Source organism: Homo sapiens, chromosome 5 (assembly GCF_000001405.40).
Source record: "Homo sapiens chromosome 5, GRCh38.p14 Primary Assembly".
Lineage (NCBI taxonomy): Eukaryota > Metazoa > Chordata > Mammalia > Primates > Hominidae > Homo > Homo sapiens.
Genome location: NC_000005.10, coordinates 79856508 through 79876648, shown reverse-complemented (window position 1 = coordinate 79876648; position 20141 = coordinate 79856508). Strand labels below are relative to the sequence as shown.

The window sequence follows — 20141 nt, the reverse complement described above, 5'->3', positions numbered from 1 at the left end:
CTCATTTGTCTGAGAGACACAGTTAAGTTAAAGACACTAAAATCTCAATTCTCTTGGCTACTTCACTTCAACTACACAGATGGCTGCTTTGGAGACTAGCATATATATTAGCTGAGATAAACAGGAATATGTCCTGGCAGAAGAGTATTGTCCAAGTGATATTAGAAGCAAAGCTTCTGAGAATGTCATTAAGAATATGTCCTTTAAGTGGTGAGACCATTGGTTGATGTAACTCAACATTCATTCCTTTATTCACATGTATTTCCTGCACAGAGGCTGCAGGCCAGCCTCTCTGCTAAGCTACATGAATCAGGCACAATCTCTACCCTGGAGAATTTTATAGTCCAGTTGAGCAGACAAACAATTATAGTGCAGTGGTAGCTTTGTGTGTGTGCTTGGTACAGCAGGCTTTGGGGGCACAGAGTGAGGAGTGACCACCCCTGCCCTAGAGGATTCAAGAAAGGCTTTCTAGAGGAGGCTTTGAACTGGATCTTGAAGAATAAGTGGTAGTTTACCACTCTTGGGAAAAAGTGGCAAGGGAACCTAGAAGCAACGGCATGGCAAAGACACAGACTCAAGAAAGAAGACTCACTGTTCCAGAAATATTTAGGAGCTTGATGTGGCTGGAGCACAGGTCCTCTGGGGGCAGCAGTAACATTTTCATGGGAACATGGTAACTTGCTCTTCATAGGCTGATCCTAGTGACCATGACATCTAATATCTGTGAATTTATCTGACCTATTCTCGGACCCATTTTTTACTTCCATGCAGAACACCTAATGGGGGTAATGGGTTCCACTTACAGGCTACAGGCTGTGTAAAGATCTATTTCCTTTCAGTTGTCCTAAAATACTTCCTTAAATGATCACCAACAGGGTCATTTTTCCCTCTTTTTATAATTGCAGTGTTTTGGCACTCCTACCTAATCCCCAGGCATCCTATAGATAAAGAATGGATGTGAAAGGCACCACTGAAGCCCTGGCTGGGGCAGCCATGCCCACCTAAAGGCCAAAACCCACCCCCGCTCCACCTTCCACCTCACACGCACAGGCCGCATGCTGCCTTTTTGTAACTCTTTTTCTCTCTGATGACCTCCCTTGATGTTAATGTTATTCTTTTATTTTTAAAAAAATAAAACAAAATCCCCAATGCATTAATGTGCAATGAGAACTAGATCTGCCAAGTGACTCACAGCAGCCCGAGCAGGACAGTCTCCCCATGCAGCTGGGAAGAATCTGAGCCTCGGCTGCTGATTAGAAGGATGGAGCTGGTGAGCGGCATCGGGTGCCGGCAGACTGCAGCGTCCATTGCCGCAGTAACAACACTCCTGGCACCTGGGCTTCTCCCCAGTCAGGACTGGGATTGGCCCTGCCAAGGTGACACTCTGGAGAGCCACCTTCTTCTGATACCTGTAAGGATATAAATGTTAGGGAAGGACAAAGCTTTTATAGGTGATCTACAAGATGGCTTTACAAAAAAGTTCCTTTGGGACTTTGTCCTGAAACAGGAAGCTTTTAGCCAGAGCCATTCTGGAATTTTAAAAAGAAGGGACAGGATTCTAATCTCAAACAACCCCTGGAATCAACTTTTGACTCCTCCTGTCTGACTTTTCCTCCTCCTGCTGGGACAATAGAACTTGCCCGGCTCTACCCAGGGCCCTTTCCCTTTTTTCTTTCCTGGCCTCTTGGCTCAGCTCACCTCCCGCTTCTCATCCTCCCTGAGCGATGTCACACATGCCCATGGCAGGCAGGAGAGGAGAGAGGTTGGATAAGGAACACGGTGCAAGCCTGACTCCACATGAAGGAGAGATGGGAGGAAGGATGGAGAGAAACACTGTAGACCACCCAGCAATGTAAAGAAGCTCAGCAGCGTTATGGGGGTGTTCTTGAGCAAAGGTGGCCATCAGAGTTGTCCTGGCTTCCAAGGAACAGGCTGCCCTGGCACTCCCACCAACCTCAGCCATTGCCTTGGTGTAGCCTATGGGAAGCATGGCCTCCATACAGGCATGGTGATGGATTGCAGAGTGCAGCAGCTGGGCTCCTGGTCAATGAAGTTCCTCCATCTTGGAGGTCTGCGAGGCTCATACTCATGGCTGCCACACTGGAGGACTCCATGTCATCCTTGCCTGGCCAGCTTCTACTGTCTTCCAGGTCTTAGTTTAAATGTCACTTCCTTAGAGAAGCCAACCCTGACCTTGGGGTTGCCCAGGCCCCCCTGCTGTCTACTCCCAGAGCGCACACTTCACTAAAAGTTCCTGTTCAACTGACTCCTCCGATGCACTCTGCACTCCAGGAGAGCTAGGCTGAGTCCACAGTACTCGGCAGTACTTGGCCCCTAGAAGCCACTCAGTATGTATTTCTTGAATAAATGAATGACTAGTTGCTGGTGCTTGTGAGACAGCTCAAATTGTGCAACAACCTTGGCTTTAGGGAATATGCTTCTTCTGCAATGGATTGTTCCAGGTAAAAGCTTTGCCTTTATGGGGCATTTACAATTTTCAGGCTGAGTTTTCAGAACAACTGAAAGGACCCCTTGAGGGAAACATTTCAAATCAGGGCAATGTGCCTGAGCCTCTGTGGCTATTTCCCTAACTTTATGCCTTAGAATAGGGTCTGGAGCAAGAGAATTGGGGACAATGGAATCCGGTGAAAATCTACTTTCTAATCCTGCTTCGGGCACTAACAGGGTCTTAGATTTATTCTCTAAAACCGGTGTTCATACTGCTCTTTCTCCTTGGGTTAACAAGAGCCCTAAAAGACATGCAAGATGTAAACATGTTTTGGGCGTTTCTCAATGCCAGCCCAATCTCGGATTGTCTTGCTGTGGCTGTTGCTTGTGGACTACAGATTTCAGGGTGCAAGCAAGTAAGTGAAGCGAAGATGTGGATTGGGACATCAAGATTCCCCAAGATGTTTTGTGGGTGGCTGTGCCTTGGAAAATAACACAGGAATAAAGAGAAGATGGGGTTGCCTAAAGCAGATCAGAACTGTCTGACGAGTAAGGAGGGATGTGTAAGCCATGGAAGCTCATTCACATGATTTTACATCGGGTGTAAAAATAGCTGGAACCCTAGTTCCAGCTAATACTCTTCACTGGGAAAAATGTGGGCAGCTCTGTGGTAAGAAGCAGTACTTCCTGATAAAATCTGTCGATCCGTTTAAGATGCTCGGAACCCAGTCCCTCAAGATGTCTACAATGCCTCAGCCAAGTTGGCCAAGGCCCTAGAAAACATTACATGCTGCGGAGAACAATGTGTATTGGCAGAAGCCACTCTCATGCTCTGTGTACAGCTCAGTTCAACCTCAGATCACCACGGACAACCAGTGGGGGCCCCTCGCTGGTCCCAGAGCACCCACTGGAAGCACCTAGGGCAAGAGCACCTTTCTGGGTCCCCGAAGTTGCGTGGCACACTTGGAATAAATACAGGCATCAGAGAATCCAGAGAGACCCAGGTTCAAGGCCAGACTTCACCAAGTCAGTTCTAGGGCTTTGCACTATTTCCTTAAATATGACTTTTTCATCTGTCAAATGGAGCTACAGCAAAATCCCTCACAGGGTTGTGATAAGGATTTCAGATAATGTATGTCAAATATCTAGCCCACAGAAGAGTTCAATAAGTCAGAACTATTATTATTTTAACAAACTTGTGTTTGGATGCTGGTTTTGCCGCTTACTAGCTCTCTGATCTTGAGAAGTTTACTTAGCCTCATTGAGCCTCATTTTCCTTATTTTTAACAGGAGAAAATAGTACTTAACTTTCAGTAGTGTTATAAGAATTACAGTTAACGTAAGAAAGGTATCTGAGTATGTTCCTGGCACAGAGTAGTACTCAAAAAAAGTTATGTACTATCATTTTTTGTAAATCAAAACAGGAATGAAAATTATTCATGTTGGGTCATATCAAGCAAGTGTGCGCGAGGCTAACAAGCCATTTGAATTGTTCTGTGGGAAATAAACTCTCTTCCAAAACTGGCTGTCTCATTTCCCCAGGTTAGATGCGTTCTGAACCTAAGACTGACCCAGAACTTGGAAGGGTTGGGCCCTACCTACCCTCACTCCCTCTATGGGGCTCTCCTTCCTTTGGCCACTTTCCAAGGAGACATTTTCTCCTCCAGCCCCAGGTCCCCTGAGGAGAGCTGAAGCAATAGGTCACTATCATTTAAACTGCTGCAGAATTTGCAGACCGTGAGACTCCTGTCTCTCCCCACTCTGCCTGGCTCATCCCCAAGAAGAAAGGAAGCCAGAGGTGGAGGAGGTTATAAAACCATTTTATATCCATCCTGTTTTTAATTGATTTCACAGCAGGAGAAGAAAAACCAGAGTGTTTCCCACATAACCTTTCTATGCGGGAGTTCTCTTCTGGTCAGGAAACTCATCTGGGAAGAGCCAGAGTCCATCTGTGTGTTCTCAGTTGTCTTCCTGCAGCCTGTGAACCCTGATTCTGTTAGTGCCCTCCATGAGGGCTGCTCCTGTGTGTCCCTGGGCACCCCCTTTACACATCCCCTTGGGGGCAGAGGCAGCCCTTCCTTGGCTGTAAGCTGCCCTGGTCTCCAAATGGGTCAACCTTTTCCATTTAATGTGCAGTGCACATGCCCCTGGGGCCTCCCGGTCCCTTAGATCTCTTAGATCTCCATGCTCTTGGCTCAGACCCACAACTCATGACCTGCAGGAGCCCAGAGTCCTCCGGAGATTTCTGTGGATTCCTGGGAGGAGGCAGGGGTGGCTAACATTATATAGGCCTCTCAATTTTTCTGCATCTTGGGGCAGGAACTTGGTCCCCAAAATGGTGCATGAAGTATTTTTTGTGAGGACTTGGTTGTGGAGAGTGGTCACAGAATGCACTGCGGATAAAACAATGAAAACATGCATGTTTGATACTTCCACTCTTAGAAAACGGTTCAGCCATCCAGCCATGAGTTGGGGATGCGGAGCGATACTCTGTCTTTGTTAAATATTTTTAAACATAAACGCTGCCTCTAGGGAGGGGAACTGGGTGAGGAGGAACAAGGAGCCAGAATACATATCTTTTTAACTTTCTGGATTTTGCACTATTTACACATATAACTATTATGCATGCATGCATACACACATATACCGTATCCCATGTATATTTATGATATCCCTTATGCTGTCTCCCTGCTTCATCTGCAATGTCCTAGCCCCTGCTCTCTGCTGAACCAATCTTTCAAGGGCTGACTTCAAAGAGTTTTCTCTTCTCATCTACTCAAGCCCTCATCTCTTCTATCCTCTCTGAACCCTGAGAGAATTTCCAGTGGGTCTTGCTAAGCCTGGGATCCACTCACAAACTGCCTCACAGTGTAACTCCGTTTCCTGAGAGCAGCGCTTGCCTCTAGTCATTTCTCCTTGGTGGAGACTCAGCACGTAGCTGAGTGAATGAATGAGAGGGAGAGGCAGAACGCGACAATTCCTAAGGAAAAGGGCACTGCTAAAACAAAATGCCCTTTGGAGCCTGCATGAAGCAGCTGGTATAAGCTCTCCCTACTCCCAGAACCAGTTGGAATGACGGAAGTGAGAAGCTGTCTGTCATGGAGCCCATTACTGTCTCTCTTCTGTTGTTATGAGAAGGCCAGTGGGTCTCTTCCAGGGGATGCATGTTGGACAAAGCCCCTCCAATAGGAACATGTAATTCTATGGACAAGCATGGGCTAGGTGTCTGAAATGAAGACTTTACCATTTTCTAAAAAAAAGATTAAGCAGAAAATATCCTATGAAATGAATAGTCTTACCCAAACCTTTCCTCTAAATAAGAACAAAGATAGCAAGTGAGAGAAAAAGGCCAAGGAGGCGAGAAGATGGAACAAAGGGAAGGTGAGAAGACCCCAAGGACAGAAGTCCTTCATTAAAAAGGCACTTTCCCTGGGTCGTGCAGGAAGACCACTCCTCTGTTTTGACAATAAAGCCCCAAAAGAAGAAGAGCACCCCCTCCCTACAGCTGAGCACCCTCTCGAGCAGGAAAGGTAGGGAGATTCCATTTCCCCTGAAGACCTAGACCTGGACCTCTCCTCCGCCATCATTTCCCACAGCCCCTTCATCTTTAAGTCCTGGGGCATCTCCCCACACTGAAACCTGGATGTCTGCTCTCGTAGCCTAACATAAAGTTTCATCTCTTTTAATGTTCAACCCCCCATCTGCCTGGGACTAGCAGAATAGCTGTCAGCCGCCCAGGTCTCCCTCCACCATGTCTGGGCATCTCCGAGGGATTTCATCATGCATCCCCTTGTAACTCCTTTCTCCAGGATGTGCTTTTCCCATACAGATTCACTGCAAGTGGGGACGTGACCCCCAGCCCCACCCCATCATTGATTCTGGAAACTTAATTCCCCAGCCCAGAGCAGATGGTGATGCTTCCTGAATATTTGGGGCATAACAGAAGTGGCTCACTATGTTCTTCCTGGAGCCCGCAGGCCCTAAAACCCCAGCCTCAGGACCACATCTAGCTCCTCTCAAGCTGTCCCATCTCAGCAAGAATCCTTCGAATAGACCAAACCAACCCTGGGTCTATACCCCCATCCCCTTTACACCAGAAAGCAGGAAGCATTGCCCCTGTCTCCTGGCCTAAGGCCTGCTCATGCTGCCCCAGGAAAACTGGCCCTGAAAACCCCCAAGTCTTTCAAGAGCAACCCTCTCTCTGATTCACCAGGGCCCAGATAAGACAACGACACTATGTGACCTTGCACTTCCCACATTATACTAATATCAACATCATGTGGGCTGTGGAGGCAGAATAATGGTCTCCAAAGATATACACATCCTAATCCCCAGAGCCTGTGGATACATTAGGCTATGTGGCAAACAGGATTTAAGTTTTCAGGTGAAATTAAGCTTGCTAGTTAGCTGACCTTGCGATGGGAAGAGTACCCTGGACTATCCAGGTGGGCCCAATCTGACCACAAAGGTCCTTAAAAGTAGAAGAGGCGTCAAGCGCCATGGCTCACACCTGTAATCCCAGCACTTTGGGAGGCCAAGGCAGGCGGATCACCTGAGGTCAGGATTTCGACACCAGCCTGACCAACATGGTGAAACCCCATCTCTACTAAAAATACAAAAATTAGCTGGGTGTGGTGGTGCACGCCTGTAATTCCAGCTACTCGGGAGGCTGAGGCAGGAGAATTGCTTGAACCTGGGAGGTGGAAGGTGTGGTGAGCTGAGATCACACCACTGCACTCCAGCCTGGGTGACAGAGCGAGATTCCGTTAAAAAAAAAAAAGTAGAAAGCAGAAGACAGAGTTAGAAAAAGACAGTGGAAGCAGAGCCAGAGACATAATGTGCTGCTGGCATTGAAGACGGAGAGGAGCCATGAGCCAAGGAATGTGGGTGGCCTTAGAACAGAGGAAAGAGTCTTACAGCTCCAGAAAGGACTGCATCCCTGCTGACACCTTGACTGTGGTCTTGCAAGAACCAAGTCAGACTTCTGACCTACAGTGCTGGGAAATAATACATTTGTGTTGATTTAAGCCACTAAGTTTGTGGTAGTTTGTTGCAGCAGCAAATAGGCACCTAATACATGGGGGATACGAATAATTCAGTCTAAGTAGTCACTTCAGGAAAACTTTTCACCAGTTCTTCAACATTTAACATCACACTCTGCAGTTGCCACACTCAGGTATGACATCTTCCCCAAATCAACTTGCTTTACTTTGGCTTGACTAGAGGGTTTATCTTGGTAACTTCCTTGAAAACAAGGGAATCTGTGCCAACATTAAAGTGTCCATATCCAGAAACCCAAATGACAAGTTCCTTTTGCCAACGGTCCCCAAATGGCAGTGCCTTTGCTAAAATAACACACACTTTAGGTTGTTTTTCTCTAGGCACCCTGATACATCACAGCTATTTCTCCAAGTCATCTTCCCCGCATTCCCATTGCCACCATTGAGGTTCAGGCCAGCTTGTCACTTGCTTGAAGAATTGCCTTGCCCCAACTTTATTCCATTCTCAACACTAAAGTTGGAAGGCTCTTTCTAGAGTCTGATCAGCCTTCTGTTTGTAAGCATCAAAGACAGCCCACTGCTCTTAGGATAAAGTACACAACGCCCATGGCCTTCAGGGCTCTGTATGATTTAGCCCCTGGCCCTGTCTCCAGCCTCGTTTCCAGGACATGGAGAACCAGCATCAGCGTGCTTCAATCAAACATGCAGCCTCTGAGCACTTGACTGTCAAGCTGTGGAGTGGGTGGTGCAAAGCAGATTGCAATGGTTTTGTGGAATCCGGTCTGTGGGGCATAGCTCTAGCTGTTAAGGGTTGAATTGTATCCTCCCAAAATTCATATGTTGAAGTCCCAACTTTCAGTATCTCAGCATATGACCTTATTTGGAAAGAGGGTTGCAGATGTAGTTAGCTAAGATGGAGTCACACTAGAGTAGGGTGGGCCCCTAATTCAATATGACTGGTGTCCTTATGGAAAGGAGAAATTTGGCCACAGACAGGCATATGAGGGGCACACCACGTGGAGATTGGAGTTATGCTGCCAAGGGCCAAGGAACTACCTGAATCCCAGAGAGAGCCCTGGAACAGATCCTTCCCTAGCACCTTCAGAGGCAGCACGGTCCTCCCGACACCTTGGTCCTGGACTTCCAGTCTCCAGAACTGTGAGACCTTACATTTCTGTTGTTCTAAGTCACCCAGTCAGTCATACTTTGTTGCAGCAGCCCCAGGAAACTAATCTGGTTGAAATGTGGATACCAAAGTAGGGCTATGGGAGAGTAGCGAAGCTCGCATTTTCAGAGGTCCACAAAAATTATTAAAGTGAAGAATGAGAGTCGCTGCTCTTTATACAACATCATACTGCTTCTCAATTTCATGAAAACAAGTTGCTAAGAAGAATTTGTGAAAGGGGTGGGATCAGTCAGTTTGCCTTCTATGGGCCAATTTTGTTCTCCTCCTGAGAGATACTGCGGAGGACTCAATAACAACTCAATATTCTCAAAACATCAAACTTTCTGATGAGAACAAAGCATGGCTTTAATCTCTTTACTTTGCTCCTGATTCTTCTGCACAGTTGACCCTGATCCTCATGTTCTTTTAATTAAGACCAAAACGGACTTGACTCCTCAGTCCCAGTTAACAAGAGGTGAGGTCGGCTTGGCATGTCTGTGTTCCAAAAACTGCCCTGAGCAAAATGTGTGTATGAGAAAAGGCTTTGCCAGGGAAAGAGCAAGCCCGAGCAGCCACCCACCCCTTCCCAGTCAGCAAGACTCTCTTCTATTTGGGACCCAGGAGGCTCATCTGCAGGCAGCTGAGCCATCTCTTGGGAAGAAGGAGAAGAATGGGCCACAAGAGCCCCACTTGGGATGGGAGAAGCTAAAATGAAGCGCCAGGAACTGGGCCAAGGACTCAAGTTAGACTTGCTTATGGGACCGCAATCCCTGAGGGTCCTATTGGTGAGGCTGATGTGGCAAAGGCCTGGCTTAGCGTGAAGAAAGAGGAGGGGGAGAGAGGAGGACAAAAAAGAAGTGAGGGAGAGACCAAAAAGAAAGATGGAGGGAATGAGCCATCCGGTGCCTGATCCAACAATATTTCATCTGCAGGATCCTCCGTCCTCATCAGTCTGGCCACTCAGGAGCGGGCTTGTGCCCAGGCAACGTTGGCTTTCCATGTAGAAGGATTAGCCCGTGCCAGGTAAGGACTTCAGTCAAGGCCAACCCACCCCCCAAATACCATCACAACCACCCTGACATTTGCCTCAATTTTCTTTATTATTTGTTCCTATGGATTAGATCTTTGTCTTGGTACAAAAGTTGCATCTGAGACTTCTTGAATGTTTGCATGTTCCAGGCACTGTTCTAAGTACTCTGCATGAATTAACTGATTTCATCCACAATAGCTTTGTGAGGTAGGTACCATTATCATCATCTCCATATATCAGATGAGGAAACTGAGGTGCAAAGTGGCAGAGTAACTTGCTCAGGGTCATAAAGCTGGTAAGTGGTAAGGCCAGAATTTGAACCCAGTCTGGCTGGCTCCAGAGTTCACATTTTTTCCATTGCACTACACTAATTCCCAAAATGAAATCCAGTACATCAGGAAATTTACCACCAGGGCTTTCTAAACCATGTGTTGCTCCCTAATTGGGGCTCTTACGCTGAGAGTTTGTTTTGAAGATAATTAATGAGAAACATTTGGAACCCTGGCCTCTGAGCACCTCTCTGTAGTCCTCCAAATGGGTTCACTAACAATTAGTGTTCACACTTTTGTGCCTACCCACACACAGCCCTGAGCTGTGACTATAAATCAATACGGTGGATTCCACAAGTCATAAAACTCAGTCCATTATTTTATAGTACAGTGTGTAAAGGCAGGTGATCTAATGGGCAAAGCTGTTATATCAATTACCATTACCTAATAATTTCTGGAAACCAAATTATAACATTGGATGATAGAAAAACTAGTCTGCTTGCCATTTGAGTTTACTGATACTTTTCTGTCAGTAAAAAGACTAAGCTTCTAAAAATCAGTGAGATTATGTAATAGTATTAATAACAAAAACAATAATAACAAATGTCACAAAAATAGCCCCCTCTTGGGCAACTATTACGTGTTAGAGTGGATTTCTGGATCTGGAAATTACCTGCTTCATTTGATACTTGAGGACACTAAGGCACAGAAGGAATAAAGATTAAAATAATTTACCCAAAGTCATCTAATTAGGTGAGTGGTTTTCAGTCCTAACTGTACATTAAAATCACCTACAGAAACATCCAAATCTAAATATGTAGATGTTTGGAGCCCACTTCAGAACAGCTGAGTCAGGACCTCAGGTGGGTGGGGTCTGAAGGGCAGCTGGGGTTGAGAGTCCCTGGACTGGTTAGCAACAAGAACTAGTAGCCAAGGGCCCTAATTCTCTGCAATGTTCTCTCTCCTACTCCCTGTGGGCTGCTTTCCCACTCTTACTCATTATTCCCAGGATATGCAAAAGAAGACAAACACATGGTCATATCTGTTTCACATTCATACACAAAATCTTCAAGCAACAGGCCAGGTGCAGAGGCTCACACTCGTAATCTCAGCACTTTGGGAGGCCGAGGTGGGTTGATCACTTGAGGCCATGAGGTCAAGATTAGCCTGGGCAACATGGTGAAACCCCGTCTCTACTAGAAATACAGAAATTAGCCAGGGGTGGTGGTGCACGCCTGTAGTCCCAGGTTGAGGTGGGAGGATCGCATGGAGCCTCGGAGGCAGAGGTTTCTGTGAGCCGAGATCACACCACTGTACTGCAGTCTGCGTAACAGAGTGAGACCCTGTCTCAAAACCAAAACAGAAAACCAAAACACAGAAACAAACAACCTTTAAGCAACATTTCCCTGTAAATGCATTGCTCCTAACTCTATTTCAGGTACTTACTATAGTGCACAAAAGTTGGCCCCTGGCTCTGTGCCATAGAAAGTGATGTCTTTCTTACAAGGAAGGGATCTCACTTCATTAAGTTTTCTATGCCAGATAACAAGCTCAGTTCCTTGCAAAAAATAGATGCTCAACAAATGTTTGTATTTAAAAGAGTAGAAAGGAGGGCATGGAAAAAGTTGCTAAGTGACCGAATGTATAGAAACAACTGGAATATTTTACTTGCTGAGGTCCAAGATAGTCTGAAGTTAAGTATTCCTGTCTATGTCAGGAAAGAGCATGTGTCAGAATCACTTAAGGGGCCATCAGGAAATCCTGGTCAATGGCACAGGTTGAACTGATGTGGGAAGTTCCCATTATGCTGCAAACCCATATAAAAGCTGGGTAAACTATAACAACAAAAAAATGTTACTTTTGTCGTTGTTATCGTTGCCATTTCATAGCCAAATTCTAAACTAAGTAAGAAAAACTCCTAGGTCCAAAAAGGAAGTAGAAACGCAAACTCATAAAATTGAGCAGGTGTTAAAAGCAAATGGTCCATAGGGATATCAGAAACCGGTGCTAGCATAGGTTTTAAAACCCACAGGAGCAGAGGATTAGGCCTCAGGCCTGCAGGTGATAAGAAGCTGAACGGACCTCTTTGAATAAAGCTAAAAGCCAGAAAGTAATCTTCCTTCCGGAAATAAGGACTAGAAGAACTCTGCCCACTGGTCTAAGGATGCATCAGGAAGTTGACCATCTGTCCAACATTGTGGGTGGTGAAAGAGTAGACCTCCAAAAATCAAACTTCCAAAATTGCACCCTGTGTGGGTGTTAGTCAGAATTCCTCCAAACCATAACTAAAGGAAGTTACAATTAAAAAGTAAACATAAAAATTATCTAAGAATGAACGCAGCAAAGGCAAATAATGAACCAAATGACACATATGCCTGCACAGTACAGCCTCATGGGACACAGCAGGAAACTATTTCTCCTGAAGATGAGCTCATGGTAAAATATCTCTAATTCCATGAAAAAAGGAATTATCTTAAAATACCGTCAACAGATGAAATAGTTGGGAAAATTTACACCCTATAAATTACAGCAATGGAACAATATGAAAAGGTTTTTAAATGGGTATGTTTAAGATATTCAAAAAGAAAGGAAAAATAAAACATACAAAAGCAATATTAGGACATTATGAAAAAGAATATGCAAATTCAAGAAAGCACCATTTTGGTATATTATATACACCTGAAAAATATAGTAAGCAATGACTGGGAAACAATGATGGAACACATTAAGTGGTTGAGACTAGAGAAATCAATAGTCTTCCTATATAAAAGCAATAACCCCTGAGAACATATAATAACAAGGAGACCTCATTTATAATAGCTGCAACAACAAAAACACAAAATATTTAGTAATAAACAAAGAAATATTTAAGATCTATATGAAGAAAACTTTAAAATGCCACTTAGGGATGCAAAAAACTTGAAAAAATTGTAAAGACTAACCCTGTTTTTGCATATTTAGCTCTGACATAAGAAAAATGCTAATTACCCCTAAGGTAATATATATGTACAATTTTTAAAACATCAACAGAATTTTCATTTAATTACATACCAACTTTAAACTTCATTTGAAAAAATAAACAAGAATAGACTGAAAAGCAGAAGTATTAAGGGAGAACTAACCCTTCCAGATATTGACATATATTAATCTATAATAATAAAAATTAATGCGGTTCTAGAGCATAAATACACAAATAGATTAATGAAACAGAATAAAAAGCAAATTAAACACAAACACCTATGAAAATTTAGTATCTGATAAGAATAAAATTTAAAATCATTAAGGGAAAATGATACTGGGCCAAGGAATGGGTTGTCTGAAATGAAAAATTTGTTGGTTGGCTTAAGGAGGACTAGACATTACAGAAAACAAGAACAGTGAACTTTAGGCATAACAATTGAAACTATCCAGACTAAAGCATAGAGAAAAAAATAAGCCTTAAAAAATAAACACAGCCTCAGTGACTTGTGGGATAATATGTGCAAATGGAGTCTCAGGAAAGGTAAGGGTGGGCTGGGGGAATTAAGAAATAACATTTGAAGAAATAATGACCAAAATTTTTCCAAATTTGATGAAAAGATACACCCACAGTTTCAAGAAGTTCAGCAAAACTGAAGTGAGATAAAGACAAACACACTAAAATGCATTATAATCAAATGGCTGGAAATCAGTAACAAAGATGAAACCTCAAAGGCAGCCAGAAAACACACACATGCACACACTATATATATGAACAAAGCTGAAAATTTGACTAACTTCTCATTAGAAACAATGAAAGCCAAAAGAAAATTAAATGACATCTTTAAAGTGCTGAAAGAAAAAAAACTATTAGTCGAGAATTTGTATCCCAAAAAAATCCCTCAAAAATAAAGACAAAAATTAAAAACATTTTAGGCAAACAAAAGCTGAGTGCATTCATTGCCAGCAGACCTGCACTAAAAGAAATAAAAGAGGATATTTTTCAAGCTGAAAGAAATAATATCAGATAGAAATTTGGATCTGCAAAAGGAATAAGGAAAAACAGAAATGATAAATATGTGATTAAATATAAAATACTTATTTCTAATTTTTAAACTTATTTTAAAAGACATTTAATTGTTAATAACAGTGTATATGGGCCTTACAACATATGCAGAAATAAACTGTATGACGATGATAATACAGAAGACTGGAAGGGAGAAGTAGAAATATGCTGCTGTCAAGTGGTATAATATTATTTGAAAATAAGTTGTGATAAGTTCAAGATTCATATTGTAAACTGTAGAATGACCCTATGAAAATAGTTTTTAAAATGAGCTATGGCCAATAAGCCAACAGCAGATAGAATATTAAAAATACTCAATAAATCCAAAAGAGGGTAGGAAAAGATGAAGGAACAAAGATCAATTGAGACAGATAGAAAACAAATAGCATATTTGAACCCAACTATATTAATAGTTGCATTAAATACAAATGGTCAAACACTCAAATTAAAAGGCAGAGATTGTCAAACTAGATAAAACAGTGAGACCCAACAAGTGTTATCTGCAAAAAAATCTACTTTCCCACTTTAAATACAAAAATTCAGAAAAGTTAAATGCTGGAATAGAAAAAGATATACTAGATAAAAAATAATAGGAAAATGGAAATGGCTATATTTATGTCAAATGAAATGGATTTCAAGACAACGATTATTGTCAAAGATGAAAGAAACATTTCATAGCAATACATAATAATACATCAAGAAGGCATAAGACTACATGAGTGTACATCCAAAAACAGAACTTCAAAAACTTCATGTAAAGCACAAACAAAACTGAAAGAAGAAATATAAAATGTTAATACTTCTGTCTTAGTAATTGATGCAAAAAGAAATCAGTAGCGATATAGAAGATATGAACCACAGTTGGTCTAAATAATATTTGTAGAACATGACACCCCAAACCAGCAGAATAATGCCTTCTTTTCAAATGGACATAAATATTCACAAGGATAGACAATTGCATTGGCCATAAAACAAGTCTGAATACATTTAATAGGATTGAAATTATACTTAATATACTCTGTAACCTAATTAAATTAGAAATTAATAATCCCCATGGGGTCTGTTATCATGGAGGAAAACCAAAGGAATCGATTGCTGGCAGGTATGCCCTAAAAAAAAAAAATGCTAAAGGATGTTCTTCAGGCTGAAGATAGACGATATCAGAGGAAAACCTGGAAATTAGGAAATGAAGAAAAAGCAACAGCAGTATAGTAAATATCTGTGTCAATAAATACTATTTCCCTCCTCTTCAGTTACTTAAATTGTGTATGACTACTGAAAGCAAAAATCATTAAATTATATAGTGGAGATTTCAATGTATGTAAATGTAAAGGAACCAATATGATTGGAAGAGTCTATACTTTAGTTGAAGTGGGAAAATACTACCTGTAAGTAGAATGTGGAACTTTAGGTATGTATACGGTAACCCCTAGAGCACCTATAAAATTTTTAAAAACAAACAAAGATATAGCCAGGAAGCCAGTAGCTAAATTGAGATGGAATGCTAATTATTCAAACAAACATTAAATAATATTAAATGTTCAAATAATCCAAAATAAGGTATGAAATAGAAAACAGAAGAACAAAAATTAGAGGTGAAAACAGGATACAAGATATATCTTTAAATATATTCTGTATTTATTCAGATAGGTTAAAAGTAAAAAGATGGAGAAAAATGTACCATACTGGAGTGGCTATGTTATTATCAAAGCAGATTTCAGAGATAAAGAGGGACATTTCATAATAATAAAGGGTTCAATTTGCCAAGAAGACATAATCTTAAATGCATATTCACCTAACAACAATATTTCAAAATATATGAAGCAAAAACTAGAAGAACTGAAAGGAGAAACAGACAAATCCATAATTATAGTTGGAGATGTTAACACTCTTCCCTTGGTAATCAATAGAAAAAGTAGACATAAAATCAGCAAGGTTATAGAAGACACGAACAACACTATCAACCAACTTTACCCAAGTAATTTTTTTGTTTTTGAGATGGAGTTTCGCTCTTGTTGCCCAAGCTGAAGTGCAGTGGCGTGATCTCAGCTCACTGCAACCTCTGCCTCCCAGGTTCAAGCGATTCTCCTGCCTCAGCCTCCTGAGTAGCTGGGATTACAGGCACCTGCCATCAAGCCTGGCAAATCTTTTGTATTTTTAGTAGAGATGGGGTTTCACCAGGCTGGTCTTGAATCCTGACCTTAGGTGATCCGCCCCCCTCGGCCTCCCAAAGTGCCAGGATTACAGGCATGAGCCACTGCACCTGGCCCCAAATGATTTTTATACAGAACACTTCACCTAACAAATGCACATTCTTTTCAAGTACACAAGATAGACCACATTCTGTGCTGTAAATAAACCTTAGCAAACGTAAAATAATTGAAAGCAAAGAAAGTATATTCTGTAAACATAACTGAATTAATTTAGAAATCAACATAAAGATATTAGGAAAATGCTAACACTTTAAATTTATTGTGTATTTTAAACATTGCACAATAAAAATATAAAATAAAACTTGAAATGTTTAAACTAGCCCAGAATGAAAGCTTGGTGAGAATAAAAGTAACGATAGTCCCTCATTACTAGACTGTTATCAGAGACTCTGATAAGACTAAAAGTGGTGAGGGGGCGTATGGGAGGGAAATGAAGTCCCCTCACAAGTTTCCAGAAGGAAAAATCCACAACGACAAAGAACATGATAGGATCGTCCAAGGTAAATGAAATCTGCAATGTAAATCATTAAATTGTGAAATGTAAGTCATGGTTCTATACCTTCTGTGACATTTGATCAAGGTAGAAGAAAAATTCTGAGAACCTTGCTGTTTCTCCAGCAGCCTGCAGTTGTCACTCCTCCCTTCTCTCTCAACTTTTTCCAACTTTAGAATTTCTGGCAGAGACTGGACCAAAAGTCACAAGGTTTAATGAGCAGTGTCGTTTCAGGCCACGAATTTGTGAGTGCCTGTTTCTGCTCACAGCTCTGCCCACTTCTCTCTCTCTACCATAAAGCTTTTTGGTCAAACTCCACTTAAGCTTAGCAGCTGCCACTATTTCCAGGATCTGGCAACGAGAATAAACTGGTTGAATCCCAGCTGTAGGAATTTGGGCAACCACCCGACGGCTTAGCCTCATTTTCCTTAGCTGTGAAATAAAGGCAATTAACCCACCTCACAGGAGTTGTGAGGATGAAATGGAATAATTAAATTATTAAATAGGATAATTTAAATGTAAAGGTGTAAAAGTGCTTTGTCAAGAGGAAAGGCACCTTCCAAGGATTTATTGCTAAAGGAACCCAGTCTCAGGACCTCGCTGTGGTGTTCACCTGGGGTAGTGGCCAAAGGTGTGGCTTAAATCAGTGAACCATCCATCATATTTACTAGAGAGAGGGCAGAGGTGGCCCTTGACCACCAAAATCCCTGCCTCCCCTTTCATGATGTGGCACTGGTGCTGGAAAGAGGCTGACCAGCCAGAGACAGCATTTCCCAGCCTCCTTTGCATCTACGTGTGGCCAGAAGAATAGTTCTTTCCATTGGCCTGTGAGCCACAGCTGTTTTTTAAGAAGCAGGAGTGCCTTCTCCTTGCTCTTTTCTCTTCTTCTGGGTGGCTAGATGTGTATGAAAATAACCAGACCCAGATCATGGTGGAGGAGCCACAAGCCTGAAGGAATCTGAGTCCCGGAATTGCAGCACCTGGAGGAGGAGAGGCACCCAGTCACAAGAAACACCTACTTGGGACCATTATAGAAGCACAAAATAAAACATCTATGATGTTAGAGCAATTACGTATTTTGGTGTCTATGTAATAAAGCAGTTGGTATGACCTTAACAAGGAGGCTGTATAGTAAGTTCTGGGTGTAATCTCTTTCTCTGCCAAGATTTTGTGGCCTTGGACTCTTTTATACCTGTTACCTCATCTATAAGTACAGATGATAATTGTTCTTGTCTTATTGGGTTGTTAGGAAAGTTAGTTGATGTAATGCACAGAAGATGCCAATAACCATATATGTTCAGTAAATGTTGGCCATGATTATTAACAGCATAGAATTATCAGACTTTTAAAAAATTCATTCATTGACTCCAGGAAAGATTTCTACCTCTGCAACTTGTCTCCAGGTGACTGTATCCATTACATGCACACCCAAATATTTTACAAAGAAATTATTCAGGGACTTCGTGTTTTTCCTAGGCAGTTGCGTCTTTATTTGAATATAGTTAACTGGAAACCTCCAAGCCTAAAGTTTCAGGCTCAGTTTGTACCTGAAGAGTCACACATGTGGACTTAATGATAGTGTGTGACTTGACCTACAATGACTCGGAAGCCCAACTAACCTGTCCTCTTTACCGTAAAATCCAGAAGTCAGATGCTGTTGCCTTACAGCTGCAGGTCTGATTCTGACCAGCAGAGGGCAGTGCTGCACACAAACTCGTGCAACTTTTGAAGGTACCCAGTGCCTTTTCATTGTCAAGTTTCCGTGTGTGTGGGGGTGGGTTTTCTCCCCAGTTTTATTCCTTGCCTTCAGAAGAATGGCCATGATATTTCAGAAAATCATGATTATCCTCAGCTCAGCTTTGATAGTTCTTAGTCTGTTGTGTGCTCACTGGCAAATCACATTTTGTGACCCTGCATGTTGATGCTGGTGGCCCACAGGCTAAAGTGAACATCAAGGGAAATACTGAAGGGGAAATAAAGTTATAAAAAGGGCAGCCTGGGAAGGGTGGGGATTGGCCTAGTGATGCTTGGGAGAGGCGTATCTGCTGAATGTGAGAATAGGAGCCCCCGCTCCTTCCCGTATCTGCTGGCACAGCCACCTCCTCCTTGTCCTCCTTTCCTGAGTCACTTACACCCACCTAGCTTCTGCAAATGATTCCACCCCGTCTTCTCCCACAACATGGCAAATTCCGGGACTCAGTCCTATGAACCTTAGTAATTCTAAGTTGTGTGATACATTTCAGAATCTCTCCTATATGAGATTTTCTGGAAACACACATGCCCATGGCTCACTCTAGACCTCCTGAATCAGATGCTAGGGTGGGTGAGAGTTTTAAGGAGCTCCCAGGATGATCAAGGTTGGTTCAAGCACCCCACACCCACCCTGAGAACCACTGGTATAGTTAATGAAGACCTGGGAGAGGCAAATGGCAGAAGAATGGAGAGGAGGGGACAGCTGGGGTGGAGTTGATGTGATTCAGTGATCCATTGCTTCTGTTACTATCCCCATTTTCCCCAAAGGGAAATTTGCAGCCCACATATAGTGACAGGTGATCTCACTGCTTTCTTTTTCTTTTTTCTTTTCTTTTTTTTTTTTTTTTTTTTTTTGAGACGGAGTCTCACTCTTCACCCAGGCTGGAGAGCAGTGGCACAATCTTGGCTCACTGCGGCCTCCGTCTCCTGGGTTCAAGCGATTCTCCTGCCTCAGCCTCTTAAGTAGTAGGGATTACAGGCCCCTGCCACCACGCCCAACTACATTTTGTATTTTTAGTAGAGACGGGGGTTTCACCAAGTTGGCCAGGCTGGTCTTGAACCTCTGACCTCAGGTGATCCGCCCACCTCGGCCTCCCAAAGTGCTGGGATTACAGGGATGAGCCACCATGCCTGGCCCTCACTGCTTTCTTCATGGAGAGAAGGAAAGCTCTTCAACTGTTCTCCTGCCTCTCTCACTCTTGCCCTGGGTTCTTATCCATATTCTCCATCTTTCCTCCTCTCTGACTGCTTGGCCTCTCTCCGCCTCCACCCATGCCTGAGCCCACCTTCTCTGCCTCCTCCCATTACCCGTTTCCCACCTGCACCTCTGGCGTCACCCTCTCCAGGGATGCATTTCCTCCTGCCCTCAGCCCCATCACCTGTCTTCAAAGCTTGCCTCCCTCTCACTGTCTTACGGGCTCTCCCCTCTCCTGGTGCTCCTCTCACTCTTTCCCCTCTTCCCTGTCCCCGCCTTCTTTGTGCTGGACTTGGTCACTCCTTTACATGACTATCAACACATCCTCTGAACTGGCCCCTCGGTCTCCCCCAGGCTTCCCTCCAGACTGAGTCCAGAGAGGTTCTTCTAGCACGCTAATCTGACATTGCCTTGCACTGACCTAAAAACCCTTCACTGCCCCTGCCCCACACCCCTCAGCATATCACACAGGCCTCCCTGCCTACTCTTCCCATCCTCTGGAGTTTTCCCTGTAGCAGTACGCGTCTGTGAACCTCTTAAGGAATGTTTGCT

General features: G+C 43.0%; 1 long non-coding RNA gene across 1 annotated transcript in view; it reads right to left on the bottom strand.

The window, feature by feature from the left end:
* LOC105379048 (uncharacterized) overlaps window positions 1–16788 on the bottom strand; it is a 115841-nt gene extending 99053 nt beyond the window's left edge. The window contains exon 1 of the long non-coding RNA XR_948500.3: window positions 16709–16788. This is a non-coding gene — a long non-coding RNA (uncharacterized LOC105379048). The remainder of the gene's footprint in view (window positions 1–16708) is intronic.
* Window positions 16789–20141: the final 3353 nt, after the last annotated feature.